The sequence below is a fragment of the Homo sapiens genome, chromosome 7 (assembly GCF_000001405.40).
Source record: "Homo sapiens chromosome 7, GRCh38.p14 Primary Assembly".
NCBI lineage: Eukaryota > Metazoa > Chordata > Mammalia > Primates > Hominidae > Homo > Homo sapiens.
The window spans coordinates 38,895,530-38,922,277 of NC_000007.14; the positions used below are offsets into that span (position 1 = coordinate 38,895,530).

General features: G+C 40.6%; 1 protein-coding gene across 3 annotated transcripts in view, besides 1 other annotated feature; it reads right to left on the minus strand.

The window, feature by feature from the left end:
• VPS41 (VPS41 subunit of HOPS complex) overlaps positions 1-13,662 on the minus strand; it is a 186,218-nt gene extending 172,556 nt beyond the window's left edge. For all 3 annotated transcript variants that reach the window (XR_007060008.1, NM_080631.4, NM_014396.4), the window contains exons 1-2: positions 13,625-13,662; positions 2,562-2,600 (exon numbers count right to left, since the gene is read on the minus strand). Coding sequence is in view for 2 of the 3 variants with exons in the window: in NM_080631.4 (NP_542198.2) it covers positions 2,562-2,600; positions 13,625-13,645 (60 nt within the window). In the remaining variant the exon portion in view is untranslated. The remainder of the gene's footprint in view (positions 1-2,561; positions 2,601-13,624) is intronic.
• Positions 13,670-13,769: an enhancer, noted in NCBI's record as "active region_25874". NCBI's record gives its function as "activates an Ori minimal core promoter by ATAC-STARR-seq in GM12878 lymphoblastoid cells {active_cell/tissue: GM12878}" and the evidence as "EXISTENCE:reporter gene assay evidence [ECO:0000049][PMID:35858748]".

The following is a 26,748-nucleotide window of genomic DNA, read 5'->3' on the forward strand; positions in this document are numbered from 1 at the left end:
TGGATTTTCCTGGATAGCAGTAACAGACGTTACCAGGGAAGAAGGGGTGAAGCATCTGTGTGGTTTACCAGGTTTCTGCATTTTCTTTTCTAGGAGGCATCTTTTTTTGGTGAGTAGGTAAGTCTCCTGATCTGATGATGTTCTTTGTTTCTGGGCACCCTTAATTTCCTCTGCTTTGTCCTTTTCTTTCACTGCCAAGCCGCTAAGGATGCCTCCCCCATCTCTGCCAAAAGCAGCACCATCCAACTCTTGTCACCTAAAGCCCTATACACTTTCAAGCTCCTTTCTTTAAATTCTCGAAATCCACCAAGTCTCACATCTGTTCTCAGATCTCCCCACTAAGAATGGGGCCCCCTTCTCACTAAGATGATTTTTATGTGCATTCTGCCTCGGCTGGGTCTCAGCTGTACTCTCTTTATTTCTACCCAGTCTCCATCTGACTGTCAGCTCCAGCGTCAACTCCAGAGCCGACTCTGCTGGCTTTGGATGTTTATTTTCCCACTTGCACTGAAGTTTGTATTACTCCCCATTTGCTAATTATACTAGAGGCCTAGATTGTGTGTGCTTTTATTTACTCTTTGTTGAGCTGTTTAGTATTTGGAGCATGTGTGGAAAGATTTAGATTTAGGTGGCTGCCAACACCCTCCTCACCTGCAAAATGAAATTCCTCAACAGAGTTCCAGCACTGTCTGATTCTGTACCAATGATTCTAAGAACACTGGAATCTTAGTTAATTAGAGATTTCCAAAATAAGGTAACCTAAAATGCTTTTCAATACTGTATGAGAAATTAACAAATATACCCTATCTATAAGCAAACTCAGAAATGCCTTACCAGAAGCCCCACAGTAATGGAAATCCTTATTAATGAAAATGTTAGAAACCATGACTACACAATGACATAATACATAACAAGCTTGTCCAACCCATGGCCCGCAGGCCACATATGGCCTAGGATGGCTTTGAATGCAGCTCAACACAAATTCATAAACTTTCTTAAAACACTGTTTGATTTTCTGCTGCAATTTTTTTTAGCTCATCAGCTATTGTTAGTGTATTTTATGTGTGGCCCAAGACAATTCTTCTTCCAATGTGACCCGGGGAGCCAAAAGATTGGACATCCCTGATATATAATCTGTTCTCTAGAGAAATATGCATAAGTCCAACTTTTCCCTGGAAAAGCAACAAAATTCACATAAGCTTATGCAGTATCAACCCAAATGTAATAGATTATCATGGCTAGAGTCATATCAGTGTGTATTTCTAGCAGGTTATCACAGATACATTTTCATTCCTCTGAGCGAAATGAAATATTAAAAGGAAAAATGTAATTCTTCTTATGAGTCCATCTATAAAATTGATAAGCCAATTACATTATGCTTGGGCCAGGTGCAGTGACTCATGCCTATAATCCCAGCACTTTGGGAGGCCAAGGCAGGCGGATCACCTGAGGTCAAGAGTTTGAGAGCAGCCTGGCCAACATGGTGAAACCCTGTCTCTACTAAAAATACAAAAATTATCTGGGCATGGTGGTGGGCGCCTGTAATCCCAGCTACTCGGGAGGCTGAGGCTGGAGAATCACTTGAACCCAGGAGATAGAGGTTATAGTGAGCCCAGACTGCACCATTGCACTCTAGCCTAGGTGACAAGAGTGAAACTCTGTCTCAAAAAAAAAAAAAAAAAAATTTATATTATGCTTAAACATTTCTTATGCAGACTTGAAAATAAATTTTTTAAAAACTCCTTCCTTATATATTATTCTCCTTAAGAAACTATCTTTATCACAATAACCTAACAACTTTTAAAGTAGCTCCCTTTTTAAGAAGCAAACTCCAGGCCGGGCGCGGTGGCTCACGCCTGTAATCCCAGCACTTTGGGAGGCAGAGGCGGGTGGATCACAAGGTCAGGAGATCAAGACCATCCTGGCTAACACGGTGAAACCCTGCCTCTACTAAAAATACAAAAAATTAGCTGGGCGTGGCGGCGGGCGCCTGTAGTCCCAGTTACTCAGGAGGCTGAGGCAGGAGAATGGTGTGAACCTGGGAGACGGAGCCTGCAGTGAGCCGAGATGGAGCCACTACACTCCAGCCTGGGCAACAGAGCGAGACTCCGTCTCAAAAAAAAAAAAAAAAAAGAAGCAAACTCCAATTTCAATGATTCAAAAATTATACCAACAAACATGTCACATTCATTAAAAGAACAAATAAAGAATAAACATCATAAAACCTACAGTGGCTATTTTTAAAAAGCAGGTGAGGGGGATGTTAAAGTGTTGAGATAAATTTCTAAAACTTTGTATCAATTTTCCAACTGCCAACATGTTTCAAGTTAAAATATTGTTTCAGATGAAAACTTTTTGTTCCTTTTCTTATTTTTTAAGCTAATCCATTTAATCTTTTTTAAGATAGCTGGCATATTAAAAGCTCTTCCCCAAGGCTTAGTTACCTATCGCCCTGCTTTACACCCTCAGCCCCTGGGAATGTTGCATTTAGCAAAGAAGCGCAACTCAAGAGAACAACGTGGTGAGCTACAAATCCGAGGGCTCCTGAGTCACCACCTTACCTCAGACTCATCTGTAGATTCTTCAAGGGACCCAGTTTCCTATAAAGCATAGAAAAAGAAAATGGTCAGAAGAGATGATAAAAGAATAATCATTTGCAAGGGGAAAGAGTCCTCATGTTCCTACTACCACGCATCTGCCCTTTTTGGAAGAGAATCTACAACTATACTTTAGAGGACCACATGCTCTGACTTTCACATGTCTCCTGCAACTTCTCCACACCCTGGCAGGCAGATCCTGCTGCTCTCCCTCAAAGAGTTAACAGGTAAACAAATTACCCCAGGAACTTATCATCTGAGGGCCTGGAAGACTCTCTCCCTTGTTAATAATGGAAACCCATCTGGCAAAGCAGCCTCACTAATCTCAGAAGGGAAGAGGAAACTGCCATCTCATGTTATCTACAAGCCAATTTTTATACTGAAAAGTTCTTGTGCTATTAATTATCATGCTATTAATCTGGTTGAGTTAAAATGACTGTCTTGCTAAAATAGCTTTTTAAAAGAATCTCCTACAGTGGTACCTATCAGACCCTGTGTAAACAAGCTGTATAATTTACATGCACTCTTTAAACCATCACCACTAAGACAAATTCTGCCATTTAACACAGTTTCCCTCTCGCTAGACAATGAATCTTGCTGCTCTGAAGGAAACAAAGCAAAAAGGGAAAAATTGACTTGATCCTGCTAATCTCTCACCTGTCCAGTGAAAGAGAGAATCTGCTGATGCCATGCATCCTCAAAGAGGTCAGCAAAATGAAGATTTACTTAACGTACTTATAGATATCAATAGCAATAAAAGGTTACAACTAATATGCTGACACTGAATGTAAGCACTTTACAACAATCCATGAGATAAACAAAGAACAAGAAAAAAATGGGGCAAGGACATTTTAGATATAACTAATACATTTTCAAGAAAAAAATGAACATTTTAAGGAAGATCGATGCATATATTACTCAATACAAGTTGGACAGCGGGATAAATGTAAATCTAGTGTTTAAAATCATTTTAATTTCATTCATCAAAAATTAGCAAGAGCCTGACAGGTGGCAGGCACCTTCCAAAGTACAGCCTGGAGGACAACACAGTCCTTGCCTTCAAAGGCCATGGGTAAAATGGGGATATGTTCCTTGTAATTAAGAATTTTATTATACTTGTATCATTAACCACAATGAATATTAGAATCTCCTCTGTAACTCAATGCAGCCTGTTTAGCTTAATGTCAATCCAAGTCTCATAAAGTTCTTATTCATTTGAAGCTACAATAATCCACAGTAACATTTTTGTTCTTAGCACTACATAAAAAAAACAATTATTGCACTACATGATAGCTGTCCAGAGAGTTAATGACATGTATCATGTTCCACCTTCTAAAATGTTTCTCCTCTGCACTCACCATCACAGTTCCTGGTTTTAGTCCTCTTACTGTACTGATCCTTCTCTTGTGGACATAGTCCACTTTAACATTAACAATCACTATTCTGACTTCTTTACTGAACATCTATTATAAACTGCTCATTATGTTCCATTCACCACCCACAACATTATAAACTTTCCTAACACCACTGGGGTTGGAAGAGTGAGGCTTAGAGGTTGAGTTTAATGACTTCTAACATCCTTTCCATCTCTGTGAGTCGCTGAATATTATGTTATTAGCATCAGCAATACAAGGCTTTGATAACTATGCCAATAAACCACACTTAAGATTCCTATTTCCTGTATGTACAGTTCTAAAAAGACACTTGAGTACTCTTTCAGGAAAATCACATTAAACCTAAGGAAATTTTTTTTTCCTCATATAGAATCCACTCAAGTATGCACATGAGGTAAATGGGTGAATACCCCATTTATGTTCTTCATTAAAACAAAAACATCTGGGCTGGGCACAGTGGCTCACGCCCGTAATCCCAGCATTTTGGGAGGCCGAGGCAGGTGGATCACCTGAGGTAAGGAGTTCAAGACCAGACTGGCCAACATGGTGAAACCTCATCTCTAGAAAAAATGAAAAGAAAATTAGCTAGGTGTGGTGGCATGCACCTGTAGTCCCAGCTACTTGGGAGGACCACTTGAACCCGGAAGAATCACTCGAGCCCAGCAGGTCAAGGCTGCAGTGAGCTGTGATTGCGTCACTGCGTTCCAGCCTGAGGAACAGAGTAAGACACTGTCTCGATTAAAACAAAACAAAACAAAACAAAATTATCTTAAGTGAAACAACTCAGAAACAGTCAAATATGCATGTTCTTACTTATAAGTAGAAGCTAAATAATGTGTACACGTGGACAAAGAGTAGAGAATGGCAGACCACGGAGACTGGGAAGGGTAGATGATGAGAAAATTATTTAATGGATACAATATATATTATTCAGGTGACAGTGACACTAAAATCCCAGAGTTCACCACTATGCAATATATGTAACAAAATTGCACCTGTACCCATTAAATGTATGTAAATTAAAAAAGAAAAAACAGAAGTCTCCAACCAGCAATTTCAATCCAAAAACTCAAAATCAAATTACACTCTTTCTCCACACCAGAAAGCATGCAGTGCCAGAATTTGACACCGTGAGGCAGGAAGATCTGAGACCTGAATCTTCAGGGAAAACTGGGCTCTGAGAGTAGCTTCTTTGGCTATGGAATTGATGGAGAACATTTACTCTAGGAAACTCTGAGACTTGCCTTCAGCACCACTACGAACATCTCACACAGACAGGCGATCTCAAAAAAAACTTGTTTCCACAATCCTACCAAAGCAATGCATGAGTGATGTCAAGAATTAGGCTGGTCTGTTATTTCTTAGCTTCATTCATTCATCAAGCCCTCTAATTAATATGCTAGAGAGAGAAAGGCAAAGAAGACGTAAAGTAAATGTCCTCATTAAGAAATCCAAGAAGGCTGAACTTTGAGAAAGGTAACAATTTGAGAATGAGTCAGTGGTTTTCAAACTTTTTTTTTAGCTTCACACTCTCATTTAAAGAATCTAACTTCAAATCCTGAAATGTAAGTTATAAATTATGCTGTTTTCAAAGTGAAATAAGCAAGACACAAAAGGACAAATATTGCATGATTCCACTTATATAACACAGAAGTAAAACAGAGGTTACCAAAGGCAGAGGGAGGATGTAGTGGGGAGTTACTGTTAAATGGGTACAGAGTTTCAGTTTGTGATGATTAAAAGTTCTAGAGAGGCAGAGTGGTTGTCTTAGTACATTTGTGTTGCTCTAAAGGAATACCTAACTAAGGCGGGTTAATTTATAAAGAAAAGAGCGTTATTTGGCTCACGGTTCTGCAGTCTGTACCAGAAGCACGGCACCAGCATCTGCTTCTGATGAGGGCCTCAGGCTGCTTCTACTCATGGCAGTAGGTTGAAGGGTAGCTGGCATATGCAGAGATCACATGGCAAGACAGGAAGCAAAAGAGGGCAATGGGGAGGTGCCAGGCTCTTTTTAACAACCAGCTCTCTTGGGAACTAATAGAAAGAGAACTCACTATTTCAAGGATGGGACCAAGCCATCGTGAGAGATCTGCCCCCATTAGATCTCCCACCTCTAATACTGGGGAACATGAGATTTTAGGTGGACAAACATCACAACTACAGCAGTGGTGATGGTTGCACAACAATGTGAGTGTATTTAATGCCACTGAATCATACACTTAAAAATGGTTAAGGTGGGGGTGGCTCACACCTGTAATCCCAGCACTTTGGGAGGCTAAGGCAAGAGGATTGCTTAAGGCCAGGGAATTTGAGACCAGTGTGGGCAACACAGAAAGATCCTGTCTCTACAAAAAAAAATGTTTTCAACTTTTTTAATGGTTAAAATGGTAATTTTATGCTATGTGTATTTTACTATAATAAAGTGCTGTTGATCAAAGCAAAAGTGATAGGCTGGAAGATACCCAGTGACACAAATGTCTATCTGAGCCAATTCTGGGTAACGGATTGACAGTTAAACTCAGAAACATTTCATTTTACCTTTCTTTTGCAAACCAATCCCTTAAGCCCAACCACCTACCCAAACAGCTTTACTGTGTGATTTCTGTGCCTTGACATGTGGCCTCTCTAATGTACTCATCACCTGCCATCAGGATTATCTTCCCAAAGCACAGACCAGACGGCCACTGCCCTCCTCAAACAACCCTCAGTAGTGCTCCAGCCTGAAGAATAGCTTTCAGATTCCCCAGCAAAGTAGTCAAAGTCCTTCCCAGTCTGGCCCCCAACAGACCTTTAGCCTCACTCCCCACTCTCTCCACAAACCTGTGACCCTCCAGCCACACTGGAGGACCCCTCGCCGAGATATTGCTTATATCTCTGTGCCACAAGTGGCAAATCAGTGGCCTGGGGTCTGGATATGGCCTGCAGGTGTTTTGTTTGGCCTAGGTGGTGTTTTTAAAAAAGCTTCCATATAAAAACCTGTACTCCTGACTGTATGTCTACATAAGATCCACACTTCCACATACCATCAGTTGCAGCTGAGCGGTTACACCCAGGACAGAATGCACTCCACCACCCCCACCACTCCCAATTTCTGACACCAAGGCACGCCTGCTCATGTGCACCACCCCCTGCCTGCCTGAGTTTGTGCTGCCTGCTCTGCACTTTCCTCATGTCACTCCCTCCATTTAGAAGGCCCCTGGCCCCATCCTGCACTCATCCTGATGGAATGCTCTACAGGCTCAGTGGGTCTCTCAGGGATACCCCAGGGAGAGGTTGCCAGGCACTCAGCCTGAGGACATTCACTCTCTCTTCAATATCAGAGCTTGGTTTTTACGTTTCTTCCCGTACCCCTCAGCTAGCACCTAATATTAACTGCCTTGTCCTACAAGTTCTCATTTTAAATATGCTGTGGATAAACCCAAAGGCTTTGCCTTCTTTGTCTCCCAGTATCCTACTGGAAAAACATGTTGCTGGTGATGATGATGAGACAAGCTGCCAATCTAAAACAAATTCTTCCTCCTCCATATGTTGCCTTTCCCTTATGAGCAATACCAAGCATATTTTCTCCAGACTCATGTCTGAATTATTAGCTTATGAACTGTAGGACAGTTACAGAAAGGGAACTGCAGGAAGGTAGCACCTTCCAACAAATGCAGCAATTCCAACAATTCCTTGGGCTCCTAGAAGACTTCTCTCATACAGGCTTTCAACCAGCCCCCATCCCTAATCCTCCCATCAGCATAGAACCCTATGACAATGGCCTGGGAGAAGGCTTGGCCCAGCTGGCCTCAGAGGTCAGGAGTGGTGAAAAGGAAGACTGTCAGCCCAGGACAGAGAGGATCCAGGACTTGCCTGGGTTGTGAAGTCCTCAGAATTGTAAGTGCCCACATACTGTTGGGGAAGAAAAACAGAATTTGGGGGAGAAATGGTAGCCTGGGGCCTAAGGAAGGCCACTCCAAACTTTGCAGGAGGGCTCACCTGGGTCTGTGTTGCAGGAAAAAAAAGAGCAGAGACCAGGCTCCAAGAAATCATCTATCTCCATCTATGCCTGGAGGTACATGTGAACACTCACTGAGGTACTGCCACCTTCTCTGTCTTCCCAACAAACTATGCGCCCTAGCTGAGCATAATGAGAAAGAGAGTTCTGATATAGGCACTGTCTGATATAGGCACAGGAAGGAGGAAATATTTTGTGTGGTATGTATGTGATATCCCTGTTGTCACAGAGCTTCAATTTAAAAAACCTCAAAGGAGTTGTGGCCAGCTTTAGACACTCAGGGACTAGGCTGGTTGAGTAGTAAAGATGAGGACTCAGGTTACCAAGCCCATTCAGCCTACTGGGCTCAGCTACTGCACTCATCTTATTCTGCAAATGAAGAAAAATCTTGACGTGTGCCCCAGCGTGGAAAAGAGGGCAAACTTGGTAACCAGGTGACCCAGTCCCAAATCTGCCTTTGCATGAGAATCATCAAAACTCAGTTTGGGGAATTAGCTAATACCCACTAACACACTCCATCTGCACAGACTCTGATTCAGTAGGTTTAAAATAAGAGCCTGGAATCACAAGCCATTTTTAACAAAAACAAAAACAAAAAAACCATAAGGAGGCCCAGGCATCAAGAAGAAACAAAGGCAACAGGGGACTGCACAGCCATGAATGGGAAGTAGCATGAGACACAGAAGCCCCTGATCTGATGAGTGTCCTCTCTCCAAGGTGTTAATGTGGGCGCGGCGGAGGCTACTAATAATCAGCTAGTGAAGTGGCCTCTAGCCGACCAATTCAGGTGAAGATAAGTGGAAAAACTAACAAAGCAATCCGCTAGTCCAGCAAAACTAATCTGTGACTACATTTTAGTTACATGATGGGAAAGAGTGCACCCTCTAAAATCTGTCTGATTCTATACTTTTAAAACTTCTTGTTTGGGTTTTGTTTTTCCTTTAGTTAGTAGTAACACTGCCTTTAAAATATCTATCTTAGCCAAACTGTAAGAAAAGAGAATTGTGCATACGTAAGCCAAGTCCAGGTTTCGATGATTAACCTCTGTCTTATTTATACAACCATTTCAACCTAGCCACTTTAACATACTTTATATTCACAAAAGTTTTAACATACTTCATACTCACAAAAGTTTTAGAGAGTAAAATTCCCAGTTACAGGCAAGAAAATCGAAGCACTCAAATTTGTATTGATTTGATTTTTATTGTAACATAATCACATGGGGATATACATGACAAATATGACATCTAATAATCCATAAGTGATCTACAATAAGGACAGAATTCCCCTAATTTCTAAAATGCAGAAGGAGAATTCAAAGTAGAAACTCTCCTACTTGATTAAGAAATAGATGGTCTAATCGTGGAAATACTTTAATGGACCAGGGTCCAGGTTGGTTGATTAGGAAGATCAAAGGGTACCTGGGGAGCAGGCAAGAGTAAAGAAAGTATAGAATGTAACCTACATTATAGTATAGATGTAATCCACATTACATCTGAATTAATAACTTAAAAAAGGTGCAAGTAAGATAAAATAATTTCACGCAAATCCTACTAATATACAATTTGACAATTTGAAATGCTATTTTCCCCCTAATAAATTCATTTAAACACTTTACTAAACACTTAGTACCTATAAAGCACTAGCCCTGTGGAAGATACAGACATGAGTAAGTTCTTGTTCTTATTCTTGAGGACTCAGCAATCTCTAGGAGAGATAAGACAAATACACAAACAACCAGACTTCAAGCAGAATGTTATTCATAAGAAAGATATGGACAAATACTGTTGGGCATCTGTGAATATGAAGGTCAACTATAAATCGTTTTGGAGCTAAGCAAAACTGCTGGTTAGAAGATTTCCAGGCAGAATGCAGGGTATTCATTTTTTCTGTAAACTATAAAATATATATGTAGTTACTTTTGACAACTACCTTTACCATATTAGGCAAAAGCAAGAATTTCCCAGTGACTTATAAAAAAATTTTCATTCATACCTAAAAAGTGGTTTTAGTTTCAGATCCTCTGAGCTGTTTTATACCACAATAACTCAGTGCAGATGTCACTATTTTGGTTCTTCTGAAAATAAATGGGGAGGGGAGCAATCACCAAAGAAACAACACTCACGAAAGATAATGTGGAGACATTTAGTTTTGTGTTGCTAATCCTGGAGATTACTGGCATTTATGATACATGATACCAAGAAAAAAATGTATGCCAAGTTTTCTAAAAAGTTCAATAGAACAGTTATTTTCTCCATTTTTGGGGGTTTTTTTGTTGTTGTTGTTTGTTTTTGAGATGGAGTCTCCCTCTTGTCACCCAGGCTGGAGTGCAATGGCACAATCTCGGCTCACTGCAACCTCTGCCTCCTGGGTTCAAGTGATTCTCCTGCCTCAGCCTCCCGAGTAGCTGGGATTACAGGCGCCCACCACCATGCCTGACTAATTTTTTTGTATTTTTAGTAGTGACGGGGTTTCACCATGTTGGCCCGTCTGGTCTCGAACTCCTGACCTCAGGTGATCCACCCGCCTCAGCCTCCCGAAGTGCTGGGATTACAGGCATGAGCCACCGCACGCAGCCCTATTTTCTCCATTTTTATACACTTTTAGCTTTAAAAAAATGGTATAATAAAGCCCTACTACCGTCATCAGATTTCAATGGCTTCCTACTGTGAAATGCAAAAACAAATCAGAGAAAAGCCTAACCATTTTTAATCTATAAAGGATAAGATTAGGTACAATTACTTACTTTCTTTTAAAAAAAAGAACTGAACAATTTGTGAATGTGTCTTTCAGCCATTTACAACAGACTGCTGGGTTTTTTTTTGTTTGTTTTTCGTTTTTTTTTTAAACAGGGTCTTGCTCTGTTGCCCAGACTGAAGTGCAGTGGCACGATCATGGCTCACTGCTGCCCCGACCCTCTTGACTCAAGCAATCCTCCCACCTCAGCCTCCCGAGTAGCTGGGACTACACACCACCATGCCTGGCTAATTTTTGTAATTTTTGTAGAGATAGGGTTTTGCTATGTTGCCCAGGCTCGTCTCGAACTCCTGGGCTCAAACAATCGCCCCACCTTGGCCTCCCAAAGTGCTGGGATTACAGGTATGGGCCATTGTGCCTGGTCCACGACTAGTCTTTTTAAGATACTGACACCACTGGAGAGGAGAATGCCCACTCCAACTACATATTGGCTGTTAAAGCATCAAAGTGGAATGGTGGCTTGAGGGAAAATCATTAAAATGGAAAGGGCTAATTCTACTTCATAAAGTAAAAAAACTATTTAGATTTAGGTTCTTACATATATTTTAAAAAGGTAGGGTATTCTAGTGAAAAGTCATGAGCTATGGAGACAGAGGACTGGAGATTTATTATATTATAGATATAAGCCTGAGCACGTTACTCAAGTTGCCTGAATTTCAATTTGTTTATCAGTAAAAGTCAATCATTTAACACAAATTTATTAAGTAACAAGCAATATTCTAGGTATTGGACATACAGCAGTGAACAAATCCTTGTCAGGATGTTCCAAGCTCTGTGGTAAGAGGTACACAGAAATATACAGGGAAAAAAAAAAAAACAAATTTTATAATACAGTATGTCAAACGGTGATGCACATTATAGGGAAAAATAATGCAGGAAGGTTTCAAAGCATGGTCAGGGAAGGTCGCAATGAAAAAGAACACTTGGACAAAGACATGAAGGAAATGAGGAAGCCTGTAAATATCAGGGTTCCTCAAAAAGGAACAGCATGAGCAAAGAGGCCCTGAGATAGGAACCTGCCTGGCTTTTTGAAGACTAAGAGAGCCAGTACAGCTGATGCAGAGTCACAGAAGGGAAGGAGAGTAGTGGGAAAAATGAGGTCAAGAAAAGGTGGCTAAGGGCAGCTGGGTCAAGGTCCTGTGGGACAACCAGGCTACCGTAATGGCTGTGGCTTTTCCTCTGAATAAGATTAGAAGCCCCTGGAAAGTCTAGAATATCAGAGGTGTTTCACCCATGTATGAGAGTAAACATTTACCTCATAGAATTCTTTTGGGAAGACCAAATGCAATATGGAAGGGTTTTTAAAACTAGAAAATAATGTACAAATGTGAAACATTATTATATCCCTAATTTTGTATGTGTCATTTTTATATCAGACAACTTTGTTAAATTCTTCTTCTGCACTAAACAGTGGTAAATATTTCATAGGTTTTTTTCAATGGAAGAAAAAACAATGGTTTTTCTAGGAGCAACTCTCTCCATTTCTATTCCACTATATCTAAGAACATATGAAACTCAGTTTTTTGCTTTCAAATCAAACCATAAAACAAACATTTCAACATGAAATAAAGATGCACAATGTGAAAAACAATCTCACCCTTATTCAAAGGAGCAATGGCAGTCATGAAATGATATGTTCTTAATGAGTGTTTTCCTTTGAACTGCTAGAATGGAAATAGGAGTCTCTAGTGTTAGATAAGAGACTTTGTTATCTTGTTATCACAAGGACCAGCCAAACCAAATTTCTACCTAGTCAAACGTCTCAATTATTGGCATATATAAAATATATACAGAACAAATTTTCACTATGAAGTAAAAACAAATGAAGTATGTTGAAAATAGTAAAAATTATTGAACTAGGTAAATGACTCTTATGATACTAAACAGCCCATCATCAAGTCACTGTTTAGAGACAATGACTGCAACTGACAGCCCTGTTAACTTGTGAAGAAAAACAGTATCCAACTGAAATAACACTGGAAATGGAAACTTAAGTTATCTCCCCCAAGTTCTAGCCTCTTTTTTGGTCTGCTTCTCTTTTTTGTCTTTTTTATTTTACTTCGTCATTTCATAAAATGTGTGATTACCACTACTGCTATATGAAAATAATTCATATTCCCATCACCAATTTCTACCCTAAACTTCAGTGCCACGTTGCCAGTTGTTGACTGGATACTACCAGCAACAAATAATCCCATTTAATTTTTACTAAGCCCAACAGTTCTAAGTACTCTAACTTTGTGTATAAACTCCTCTCTCCATCTTAAACCACCCTCTGAGGACGGCCTTATTATTACCCCCATCTCACACTGGAAAGTTAAATAAGTAGCTCAAAGTAGCACATTGGGTAAGAAAAGGAACCAGCACTTGGACCCCAGGCATTTTTGCTCCAGAACGGATGCATTTAATCCCTGCTGCACCGCAACAGTGCTCCAGCTCTGTACCTAACTCCAATAGATACAAAACAAAACTCATCGTCTACTCTCTCCTAGTTCTTATTGTCCTACTTCAAGTGGAAAGCAACTTAAATTTCAGTCACCCGGCCTCTCTTCCTCCTCCCACAGGCAGTCAGTCCCTGAGGTAGCCGGGCCTGCCTTCATGCCAAAATTTCCCTGGGCAAAGGCCACAGGGATGGGGCCCGAGGAAAGGCAGCCCGAACGCGGGGGTGTGTCAGAGCGCTTTCCCTAGGTGCCCTCCCGGGGCTGGCATCCTCTCTGCTCCCCGAAACCAACTTTCGCCATCCCACCCCGCCCTGCCGCGGACCTGCCTTGCGCTATTCCAGCAGCTCCGCACCTCCACCCACTCCACTCCACCCTCCCCAAACAGCCCACCCTAGTCTCTATATCCCTGTGCCCTCAACTACCACCTGCACCCTTTACCTGCTCCTCTGCTTCCGCCATGGCGCCACGGGAGAGTCACCTGACAGACCCGGAAATAAGAGGAAACCACACACTTGGCCCAGGGCCTTCTGGGAAATGTAGTTTTAGCTTCATCTGAGCCTGGAAATCTCTTCTAGGGGACGGACCTGCTAGGGTTCATTTCTGCTGCCAATTCTCCAAACTCAATGGAATTCTGCTTTGAAGGATGTGAACATAACCATTGCTAATACTATAGCTTATTTTATTGTTGTTCTTGTTTCTCTAGTTATTCTAGTGTTTATTAAGCACTTACTATGTCATGCCCTGGGTTTATAGCTTTGCATAAATTATCTCATTTAATCCTCACAGCAATTCCTACTATCATCCCCATTTATAGGGGAGAATACCGTAGCTCAGAGGTCATGCAGCTAGTAAGAGGCAGAACTAGTAATAGAATTCAGCCCTGCCTGATGCCAAAGTCTCTGTGATTGCCAAATGCTGCTTACTCTAAAAGTGTTCTTGTCCTTTTTTCTCTCTCTTTTTTAAGTATATTCAGTGAATATAAAGCAGTCTTTGCAGTGGAGAGTCAGAGAAAATTTATACGCCAACAAATAATATCATTATTTTTGCTTGCTACTTTGTCTTCTCCTGTCATATGAACATTGATTTAAAAAAAATCTCTGTTGTTTAATAAATTAATTGTTAAACTTTTGTTGAGGATATTCAATAGGTAAATGTTCAAGTGAAGACACAATATGAAGTTGTCCTTGGTCAAAATCTGCACAACCACTGTATTACTTCCAGCCTTCAGAATGACTGATTCCTTCTCCATGTTTCTGAACATTATGAATTCTGTTTCTTAACCCTCAGGAATCTGCAGCACCTTGTCCAAAGACAGACATTTTACAATTTCCATTCACTGGAGTAGCTGGTGACCAGCAGAGGGCATTGCAAATGGCAGCATGTGGTGATTGCCTCAGTACCTTTTTTGACTCCCTGTGCCTCATTGACTCTGACCCAGTAGGAAGTCATGGACTCAGTACTCTGTCTGTAGCTTGCTCAACCCATGATTCCTCAATGGCCCAGAAGCCAAGGTGACATCATCTCTGAGACACCTGTCTTCTCCCCAGGGCCTAAACAGCCTTACCTCCATCTTCTTCCTCCAAGCCTTGCTGGGGTTCCTCTTCCAGTGGGCTAATCACTCAGCCGACAGGATAGACCACCCTGAGGCATTTAAATGTCTATAAGCAGCCAGGTGCAGTGGCTTTCACCTGTAATCCCAGCACTTTGGGAGGCCAAGGCAGTCAGATTTCATGAGCTCAAGAGTTTGAGACCATCCTGGACAACATGGCAAAACCCTGTCTCTACAAAAAATACCAAAAATTAGCCGGGCATAATGGTGTGCGCCTGTAGTTCCAGCTACTCAGGAGGCTGAGGTGGGGGTTAAGGCTGCAGTGAGCATTGATGGTGCCACTGCACTCCAGCCTGGGCAACAGAGTGAGACCCTATCTGAAAAAAAAGAAAAAAGAAAAAAGAAATCCATAAGCAAGCACCCAATGCCCTAAGTATAAACCTAGGGCAAGTATAAACCTAACCCAAGAGTTTCTAAAATCTCTTGCAAAGCAGCCCAGGGCCAAACATTGCTCATGATGAACTCCAGATCCCAGAAAAACTTTAATACAGACCAAAGAGACTGTGGAAGCCCTCAGTCGAGTATCCACGGGAAAGAGAAATAAAATGAGCTCTTCCACTTTTCTGACTTTCCTCACAAACTCCAATTTTCTCTTTTCTGTTATGAGTGACAGCCACCCATAAACCTCTAGGACTACAGCCTCTCCAACTGGGCAATCTCCTCTTCTATGCTGAATGGATGAGATTGGGATGAAGAAGGAAAATAAGGGATTATTACCACTGTCTTAACCACAAGGTCATTTTTGTTTTATGGTTCCATTTTATTTTGGTGAGAAGTCAAGCAGCCCAAGCAAGCAAAGCTGAAGGCCATCCACTCTGGGCCTTCCTGGCCTTTCTACTTTTCTGGAATGAGAATGTTTATTCTCTTTCTCAAGAAGGGTGTTATGGGTCTTATTAAAGATATAGCCAGACTTTATAGGTTTTCCTCTGCTCATTTAACCGTAGAAACTCTCAATTCCCCAAGTTTGTTCCGCATTCAGTATACTCTCTTGATTACAATAAAGTATTATGAGCCTCTTTCCTTTTGGAGAGACTGGAAAAGTGAAGAGACACAGGTATGGAAAGGTGAATTAGAGGAAGAAACCTACTATGAACTAGCAGGTTCGTGCTGGGACAGTGGACAGGATGAAATTCACATGTGACCTCCAAATCCCATTTGCTCATGTGAAGTGAGAGTTTGAGGCTCTCTTATCTAGGTGGTCTTGTATTCTCCAACTACTCTAAGTGTAGTCCAAAGACTACCTGGGAGCTTGTTAAAAATGAAGAATTTGGGGCCCTTTGAGAGATGTATTTAACCACAATCTGGATTTTAATAGTATCCCTCAGTCATATGCATATACTTTCAAGTTTGAGGAGTAGTCAGCCTAACAGTCACTGATTCTGTGTCAAATCACCTGCTCAGTCCACCCTCTCCCAACTTCAAGATACGGAGGTAAAGGGCTGGGCGCAGTGACTCACGCCTGTAATCCCAGCACTTTGGGAGGCCAAGGCGGGCGGATCCCCTGAGGTCAAGAGATCGAGACCATCCTGGTCAACATAGTGAAACCCCGTCTCTACTAAAAATACAAAAATTAGCCAGGCGTGGTGGTGTGCGCCTGTAATCCCAGCTACTCGGGAGGCTGAGGCAGGAGAATCGCTTGAACTCGGGAGGCGGAGGTTGCAGTGAGCCAAGATCACACTACTACACTACAGCCTGGTGACAGAGCAAGACTCTGTCTCAAAAAACAAAAACAAAAACAAAAACTAAAACTAAAACAAAAATGCAGATGGAGGTAAAGGTAAGATTCAACTTCTCATTCTCAGTCTATAGGACCTAAAATTGTTAATAGACTTCAGAAAACAGACCTAAGACCTTATATTTGTAGAGTGGCTCACTGGTTTCAAGGATCTGTCTCATATGTTTGTTTCGTAGGTCTGAAACAGTTTACTAACTCAAATTATAGCCATTTTATTCGTGACAATAGCATTATTTCATTGCTTAAACAATATGAACGGCTTTAATATTTTCCATTATTAAATAGCATTTATAAATTCAGGAAACTTGAAAAATCGGCAAAGTGGACAAAGTTAAAATAATTCACTCTTATGCCCTTGCTAATTAGGGGATGTGTTGTAGATTCTTTTCCCAATCTTCAGCTTCCATTCCTTCTTAGATTGCTACCTTTCTCAATCTACAGGTGTGACAGCTAATGACAAGCAAATTTACACCACATTACACTACTAATTCCAAGCTACAATCTTAGCCTTTATTTAATTAACTGTACCAAATAGCTAAAAGAATATTGATGTTATCTTTAGCAAATTTGGCCAGCCTCAGCTTATTTTGCAGTTTAGTTTTTCCAAAACTGTACCTACTGAAACCTGTTACCTTCTAATATTCTAAATGTCATTTTAAGATATAGCTTATTGGAAATTTCCCTGAGCAACCACATTAGATTTTCTTAATAACATTTTTCTAATTACAAAAGTACTATGTGTTCATAATAGATAACTGGAAAAATACAATAAATTATAAAATAAAATTCTAAAACCACTCATGATTTCTCCACTTAGATTATGATTGTTGGATATATGCCTTTCTTTTTTCTTCTCTTTTTTCTCTCTCTTCCTCCTTTCCCCTCTCTGTCTCTCTGTATTTATTTAAAAACTTGTCCAACAAAGATCATATTACCAAGTTTTGTCATTTTTTTTTACTTAGTCATATTTCAAGATTGTTTCCCAATAACAATCTTGTAAAATATTCTTCTAAAACATGATTTTAATAAAACATGATTTCACATTATAATTCCATCGTATGAAAAGTAATGTATATAATCATTCTATTTTGTTGTATACTTTAAGTACATCTAATTAACATCCCTGTGCATAATTCTGGAAAATGCTATAATGCAAGGTGGTATCAACTGCAGGAATAAAGATCATCCAAATGAGAAATGCCATTGAGGAGTTATTCAGAGCTTACTCTAGAAAGGGAGTCAGCCACCAGCACTTGCGCTGTGGCAGAGACTCAAACACAGGCACAAGAGTGGGAAGGTAGGAAAAGGGAAGGCTTCAGGTAGGCCCTGGTTGGAGGCTGCTGGCATGAGAAAGCTGCAGGTGGGGTAACCAGAAGTGGGGCAACCTATGTGATTGGTAGGGGTGGATATTTGGTTTTCTCTGGTTGCTCTTAGTTGGAAGTGGGAGTAAAAATTAAGGAAGTTGTCAACTACCAATAAAGTCCTGGTCATTTTAGGCTGATTGTTTCAGAGGTTATAGTTAAGGTTCCTGGATTGTTACTAGAGATGGCAGTTTTGACTGTCAGGCTAGATTCCTGGGTTTTCTATTGTGGACAATGGCTTGGTTTCCTGGGCAATTGCTGCAGCTTGCTTCAGACTGTGGGTCAGAGTTCTATTTTAATATCTGGTCTGGCCAGTGCCCCTTTATATATTCAGTCTCTCACAATTTATTCTACAGTGAGCTATATATGAGAGCTCTAAACCCTCCTACCATCAAACATTAGATATTATCATTTTTTACACATTTCATTAATTTAGCTTGGGGAAAATAGTATTAATATTTTAATTTTTGTTTTAACTGTATGTCTTTGATTTCTGATGAGGGGATGTTTTTCATAAATTTACTGGCCATTTTCAACTTTGTTCTGTCCTTTCTACTCTTGCTCTTTACCCATCTTTTGTGGGAAAGTTGATCTTTTCCCTATTTGGCTTGTAAAAGAAATGTTCAGTAGATATTTGGTTATTTGGTTTGAAGCTAGGAGGAGTCTGGTGCTGGATGTAAATAATCTGAGGTCTTCAACATATATTAGGTTGGTGCAAAAGTAATTGCAGTTTTTGCCATTACTTTTAATTGATACTTGAGGTATAGTATTGTGTAGTATTACAACCTAAGAGAGAATCTTTGGAAATACATAGATTTGAGGGAACTTTGAAGAGGTAAAGTTTAGACTCACTGTGGTGGTTCTCTTGCTAGATTCTTGTGAAATTAGTGTGCCTTGATTTGCACGAAGGGGTTTTATTGGTAAAATCAAATAGTCACTTTATTTTCCCAATTCACAGAAAGAAATCAATTGATTAATGGGTAAAATATTTTATTTAGGGTTTTCACATATGCTTTCTTGAAATCTTTGATTTTTTGCTATTGCTTAGCTATAAACAAGCACTGAGACATAAAAATACATAAAAATAGTAAATAAATCCCAACCAAAAAAATCAGAAAGAAACTATAAAGCTTGCTTTGACAACTTCTTACTTTTAAACATGTACCAGGCACCTAGCACAGTGTATGTGCATAATAGGGTCACTATAAATATTTGTTGACTGAATCAATTAATTAATTGAACATCTTTCCATTCATGGTGCTTTCTCAAACTAGACTATTTGGTGCCTTGCCACCTGAGTACGTTTCAGACCTGTTCTATGAGCAAATAAAAAGATATTGAAGATTTAGAGCAGTGAAATGACACAAAGAAAGTGGTATCTGGGACGTTTAAGTCAGCCATTGTGTGAGAGTTTGAAGGTGGGAGTGATCAAATCAGTTGGGAAGATCAGACATGACTTCAAGCAGCACATCAAGTGTTCCTTAAAGGATAGGTAAGAGGCTGATGGTAAGAGGAAAGGGAAAATATTCCAGGTAAAGGGAACAGTATAAGAAGAGACATAAAGATAGGCCGGGCGCAGTGGCTCACGCCTGTAATCCCAACACTTTGGGAGGCCGAGGCGGGCAGATCACGAGGTCAGGAGATGGAGACCATCGTGGCTAACACGGTGAAACCCCGTCTCTACTACAAAAATACAAAAAATTAGCTGGGCGTGGTGGCGGGTGCCTGTAGCCCCAGCTACTCCGGAGGCTGAGGCAGAATGGCATGAGCCTGGGAGGTGGAGCTTGCAATGAGCCAAGATGGCTGCCACTGCACTCCAACCTGGGTGACAGAGCAAGACTCCGTCTCAGAAAAAAAAAAAAAAAAAGGAAGAGACATAAAGATGTGGAATAGCATCCAAAGAGTCAGATACAAGACCAATTAGGTAGGATGGTGCTAGAGTCTGTCAATATAAATTTGTGTATAATTCCACAGGCAGTTGTAGCAGAGACTGCTAAATGCCTGCCTAATATCCATTCACTTCTACTTTATTGGTAAAAGAACTCCTAAAATATTAGGGGCAGCAATATGTTTAAATAAAAGACATTTCCTGGTCTCCATCACAGTTAGGCATGGCTATGTAATTAAGTTCTGGTCAATGACATACAAGTGGAAATGTTATGTGTGCCTTTCAGGGAAGTCTATTAAAGGGGAACAGACATCTGGGGATACCCCTTTCACCATTTCTGCCATTAGATTCTCCAGCAACCACACAGGTCCCACAAGTGACCTTGAGGATGAAAACCAAATTCTAAGGATGAAGCAGAAAGATAGGAGAAGCCTGGGTCCCTGATGACTGAAGCCAACACGCTCCTCTAAACTGCCTGCCTCCAAACTAATGTTTTGTTTTTTTTTCAAACAGGGTTTTACTCTTGTCACCAGGGCTGGAGTCCAGTGGCAGGATCTTGGCTCACTGCAACCTCCGCCTACCCGCTCAAGTGATTCTCCTGCCTTAGCCTCCCGAGTAGCTGGGACTACAGGTGTACACCACCACGCCTGGCTAATTTTTGTATTTTTAGCAGAGACGGGGTTTCACCATGTTGCTCAGGCTGGTCTTGAACTCCTGAGCTCAGGTGATCCACCCACCTCGGCCTCCCAGAATGCTGAGATTACAGGCGTGAGCCACTAAGCCCAGCCTCCAAACTCATTTTGAATAAAATAATAATCCCTTGTGTTATTGTAGCTTGCCTATCACAAGCAGACAGACTTAATACTAACTGATACAGTGGTAGGGAGCCATTGAGGAGTTTTGAGAATAGAAATGACTCAGCCAAAAGACATCACCTACTGCACCTGAGGAAATTATTATTCTTCTACTTGCCCACCTGACACAGGAGAAAGGGAGCAATCACACGCTCGTGTGTGAGAAGAACAAATTTTCAGATTATAAAAGTTTTGGAATCTTGGGACATAGGACAAGAACATTACTGCCAGGGTACCAATTTGCATTTTTTTTTCCAGTTCATTGTGATATTTAAGAGCTTGAGAATCAGATCAGGATTCAAATTTTGTGTGTGCCATTTATAATAAATCTAGGACAAGTTAACTTTTCCAAAGTCCAGTATTCTTAGCTATTAAATGGGCTAAAAGTACCTTCCAATCAGGGTTGTTGCAAAAAACAAATGAGAAAATGTAGGTCAAGTTCCTTGCCAAAGGCTGGGGCCTAGTTGTATTTATCACTGCTGTACTGCTATTTTGTTTCCTGCACTTCAGTATACACATAACGAACACTGCAGTCTCCTCTTCAGGTTCCATTTTTCATGATCCTCATTTAGAGGCACAGGACCACTCTCAAGACTTACTTGTTTTCATAAAAAGAAGAAAAGAAATTTGGGGGAATGTGCAGAGTCGCCCTTTACTCAGTCTCTCAAAGGAGACTGTGCAGTGATTATCAGAAATCTCTTATACATAAAGAAAGAGTATGGCCCAAAAATGTTAGTTTCTGTACAATTACAGAGAACGTGGAACTGTATCTTACTCATAGTGAGGTTAGAAAATGCTACCAGTTACCCTTTTCTATGCAATTTCCCATAAGTGATCGTCCTTCTAGATATGTGTGCTATCATAAGCAATATATTTGGTCTTTATCTCTGGTTCCTGGCACAGAGCACTTAAAACCTTTAGAATTTCCCAAGTGATAGGAGTATATTTTGTTATTGAATCCCTTTTTATCACACTTGAGTTTATACTAATGAGATGACTTAGGGTGGGGCTCCTATATAGCAGCAAGATGGGACTGGTCACCAGAAAGACCAATTGATTATAGGGCTGGAACTTTCAGCCCCCCAGGGAGGGGCGGGGAAGACTGGAGATTAAGTTCTATAAAAACTCTCGAAATGAGATTTGATGAGTTTCCAATTTGGTGAACACGTCCACGCAGTGGGAGCATGGAGTACCCCATGGGGACGGAAGCTGCTGTGCTCCGTACCCTTCCAGACCTTGCCCTGTGTACCTCTTCATCTGGATGTTCATTTGTATCCTTTATAATAAACTGGTAAATGTAAGTAAAGTGTCTTCCTGAGTTCTGTGAGTCATTCTAACAAGTTATGGAACCTTAGAAGGGGTTCATAGGAAGCTCCTATTTATACCTGGTTGGCCAGAAGCACAGGAGGCCCAGGACTTGCAACTGACATTTGAAGTAGGGGGCAGTTTTGTGGGACTGAGCTCTTAAGCTATAGGGTCTGTGCTAACCCCGGGTGGTTAGTATCAGAATTGAGTTAAGTTGTTGAACACCCAGCTGGTGTCCAGTGAGTCCAAGAGTTGATTGTAGGTATTGGAAAACACTCCAGAGTATGTTAATACTTCACATTTATGGATGTCTAGATGGGAAGTATTAGAAATTAATGGAGAAGGTTAATGTCTTTTTAAAAAGAAAAAGGCAATGTATAAATGGTCTGTCTGATATCACTCAGTAATGAACAAGAGTGAGAAGAGACCCTAGGAGGAATTTTGTCTTTATATTCATTGCAGTATTTTGAGGGATATTTTTCCAGATTTTTTTTCCCACAGATATGTATACAAGGGCTTCCTTTATGTGTTTTAAACATAATTTGAATCACACTCTAGAGTTCTGTGGCATTTTTAAAAAACTTATTGCCTGGGCGCGGTGGCTCACACCTGTAATCCCAGCACTTTGGAAGGCTGAGGTGGGTGGATGACGAGGTCAGGAGATTGAGACCATCCTGGCTAGCATGGTGAAACCCCATCTCTACTAAAAATACAAAAAAACTAGCCAGGTGTGGTGGTGGGCGCCTGTAGTCCCAGCTACTTGGCAGGCTGAGGTAGGAAAATGGCATGAACCCGGGAGACGGAGCTTGTAGTGAGCTGAGATCGCGCCACTGCACTCCAGCCTGGGTGACAGAGCGAGACTCCATCTCAAAAAAAAAAAAAAATCAACCAACCGAACAAATAAAAAAAACTTATTAATACATCAACAATGTAATTTCACATAATATAGAGCTACATAAGTACTTACGTTTATATAGTCTTCCATGGAGTTGATTTCTGTGATTTATGTAACCAATCCTCCTCCACTTTTCAATATTTAGGTTGCTTTCAAGTTTTCACTATTATAAACTATGCTGTGATGAACAGTGCATCTTGTGCATATCTCCAAATTATAAATATTTTCTTGGAAAAATGTATAGAAATGGAATAGCTTGGTCACTGAAACATTTGAAGTTCTCTTAAAAATTCTTTAAAAATATCAGGAAATACGTTAAAAAAAAAAAAACCTTCAGAGCTGGGCGTGGTGGCTCACGCCTATAATCCCAGCACTTGGGAAGGCAGAAGTGGGTGGATCCCCCGAGCTCAGGAGTTCGAGACCAAGGCAACATGATGAAACCCCATCTCTACTACAATACAAAAAATTAGCCAGGCATGGTGGTGCGCACCTGTAATCCCAGCTACCTGGGAGGCTGAGGCAGGAGAATCGCTTGAACCCAGGAGGCAGAGATTGCAGTAAGCTGAGATTGCCCCACTGCACTCCAGCCTAGGCGACAGAGTGAGCCCCTATCTCAAAAACAAAAACAAAAACAAAAAACTTCTTCAATACTCTAATGTGGTGATTTTGAATAATGTGGGAAATATTTTATTCATCCTTTGGATTCCTATTATATGTTTACTAAAAGAATATTTCAAAGACCATCTGTTTGAGTTTTCCCCAGACATAGAATGCTTATGTGCAATCCACTTACTGAACTTCTTTCATGTTTTTGACAGAAAAGCACAAAACTAATTTTTAACTTAAAGCATGAATTCAGTCTACTCAGAATCCAGATGTTTAGCTGTGCCAGAAAAATGTATTATTTCATAGAAAATCTTTCATTTTCAATCAAAATTTTGAAACAAAATACTTAAACACATCCTGCCATTGGATCCAAATATCATTTGTGAAACAACGTCCATTTTTCAGCAAGAGTCCAATTTCAAAGTACGTTTGTGGCGTTAAGAGCCTTCTTCTAACATAAAGACATGAAAAAATTGAAAAAGAAGAAGAGCAGAAGAAAAGAGGAAGAAGAGGAAGGGTTTGCTGCACTAAGTGAAAGCAATGGCAGTCATCAATTGTGTTCCAAAATTTAACACAACCAGTATATTAATTGATTAAATCTTAATACTTAATTTTTTACAGAAACAGTAAATTGCACCTTATTTCTGAGCCAGAAAGCTTTTACATCTATAATACAGTTGAATCTATACACGATATGGAAAATAGTACAAACTATTGCCATTGCAGTACCAGTAATAAAATAAAATATGTACCCTACAATGACCATTTCATAGTTTTGTACTTACCTGAACATTAGTTAATCACCAAACTTAATCACCATAGAGTTTTATGTTTTATATTTTATTGTGTTTCTCCTGTACTGCATTCATTTATATAAGCTAGGCTGGAATGTGACAACCTGGGGGCTCATCCACCATTGATGGCATTATTATCATAGAAAAACAACCTTAGTTACGAGCCCCTGACCCAGAAATTACGTTTTGGCTTTTTTTTTTTTTTGTGCCTAGAACTGCATGCAATGCCAAGGTTATGGCCTTTTGATTGTTGCCTTAAGGAGAAAATGGCTTTAATCATTAATAGGGAAGACTTGTCCCCCTAAGAAGGGAGCATACCCAGAAGAACCCAAGAAAGAAGAGCATCATTGTTAGACTCCTGGGTAATATTTCTAACTGGTTTGACAACTGCTGGAGAAAAATACTTATGTGGCAGTACCAGAACCCAAGGCCTAACATCTCCAGCTGATGTATCATGAACTTCTTCTCTGACACATAAACGTCTGGAAATTACTGGAGAAACTCCCCCCACCTTTACCCCAATGCCCACTCCCTCCCAAGGCCATCAGAAATGCTCTTCCTTTGATTTCTTTCCCTCACATTGCTTCCTGTAGATCCTGTGTTCTACTCCTGCTGTTCTCACAAGCTCATTCCTACTCCTTCTCCATTACCCCGCTCTAAAGACACCCTCCCACCTTTTCATTGTGCTTCAGTGCCTGTCATTCTGTGCAGATAAGTGAAAAGAAGGATGGGGAAAGGCTTTTTGATAAGATTGGGCATGGAGTAACAAAACCGTGGGCTTTCATCAGCTGATATAAATGATGGACCTCTCTTTTCTCCTGTTTTTCTCCATCCTGGGTCTGTTTATTGCAGCTGAGAAGGCCTACTAGTGCAGAAGACCTGTTCTAATCATTTATGACACATTGTAATGACAGTCTATTGGATTGTCTGCACAGCACCCATTTTTTAGGACTTGTCTCCCTACCACCCTATGCCCCCAGCCCACCACATACAAGGTACCTGCAAAGTCTTTCCACTTCCTAGATATAGTTTATTGATCTTCATCCCTTCTCTGAGATTTTTGGAATTAAGACTGAAAAAGGTCAAACTGTTTCCTGATGCTTGGACTCTATAAGGTATCCCAGGAAACTTTTTGTTCAAACAAGTTCAGATTCGTTTTCTGATGCTGTCAGAGCCTTAACTGACGTGTTCACACACACATACACATGCACACACATACAAGTTGGCTTTCTTCTCCAAGCAATTTTTATATCGTCTCTTCCCTGCCCTTTGCTTTAGTTAAGTGGGCTTCAGTAACCAGGGAAACAGTCTTGGTTTCCAGCCCTCAGAGATTAAGGAAAGGTGTCTTAGAAAAGACAGAAACAGGCTGGGTGCGGTGGCTCATGACTGTAATCCTAGCACCTTGGGAGACTGAGACAGGCAGATCACTTGCGCTCAGGAGTTTGAGACTAGCCTGAGCACCATGATGAAACCGAATCTCTACAAAAAATAAAAAACAAAATTAGCTGGGTGTGGTGGTGCATGCCTGTAGTCCCAGCTACTTGTTGGGGGAAGCTGAGGCAGGAGGATCAATTACTTAAATCCAGGAGGTCGAGGCTGCAGTGAGTTGAGAGCATGCCATTGCCCTCCAACCTGGGTGACAAAGTGAGACTGTGTCTTAAAAAAAAAAAAAAAAAAGAACAGACAGCAGCAGGGCTGAATTCCTTGCTCATTGGATGATGCGTAGAATTGCCACTCCCATCTTCCCTTGCCACATTTCTTCAGTTGCATGTGGCACTGACAAAGGCTAGGACTTTGCCATTCTTCCAATGCTAGCTGAATTCCAGCCAGCAACTGACTTTACAATGCCTTCTTTGCAAGATTTGGATGGGCAATCACAGATCAGCCAGATTCAGGGTCAGGAGCCATTTTGAAGTTCAGTTTCAAGTTAGGAAAAACTGTAATACTGAACCCCTCAAAGATACTGGCTCAAGTATCTAGTTTAAGGAGTAGGTCAGTAGAGGACTGGCCTTGGGTTCCCACTCCCTGTTGGAGGTGGGATCACTATGAAGCGGAGAGTGTTGAGAAAAACCCTGAGGCCAACCAGCCAGCCAACAAAAACCCTACCTGCAATACCCTGGGAGTATTCCTAATATAATAAGTATTATTCGAGTTAAAAGTAATACATCTCCCCATGTTTAAGTGGCATGTGGTTGGAAGATAAGGTTCTTGCTTTTTAATAGAAAGGAATAAAACACTGAAAAACCAAGACTTGAAGATGACTTTTTGCAATACAACCTTTCCGAAATAAGGCACAGTCTATTCTCAGAGCATTAAATTTCTTCTTCCTTTGAGTTCCCATTTTGTAATGGTTGGTCCTTTTCTACTAACAAACGAATGCATTACAGACTTTTCTCTTTCTAGTGATCTAAAATGTTGCTAAGTTTGCACTGTGGTCCACAATTTACAAATACTATGTAAGACTCTTATGCTAAACTGCAGGATTGAAGAAAATACTCAGACTTAAATAGTGATA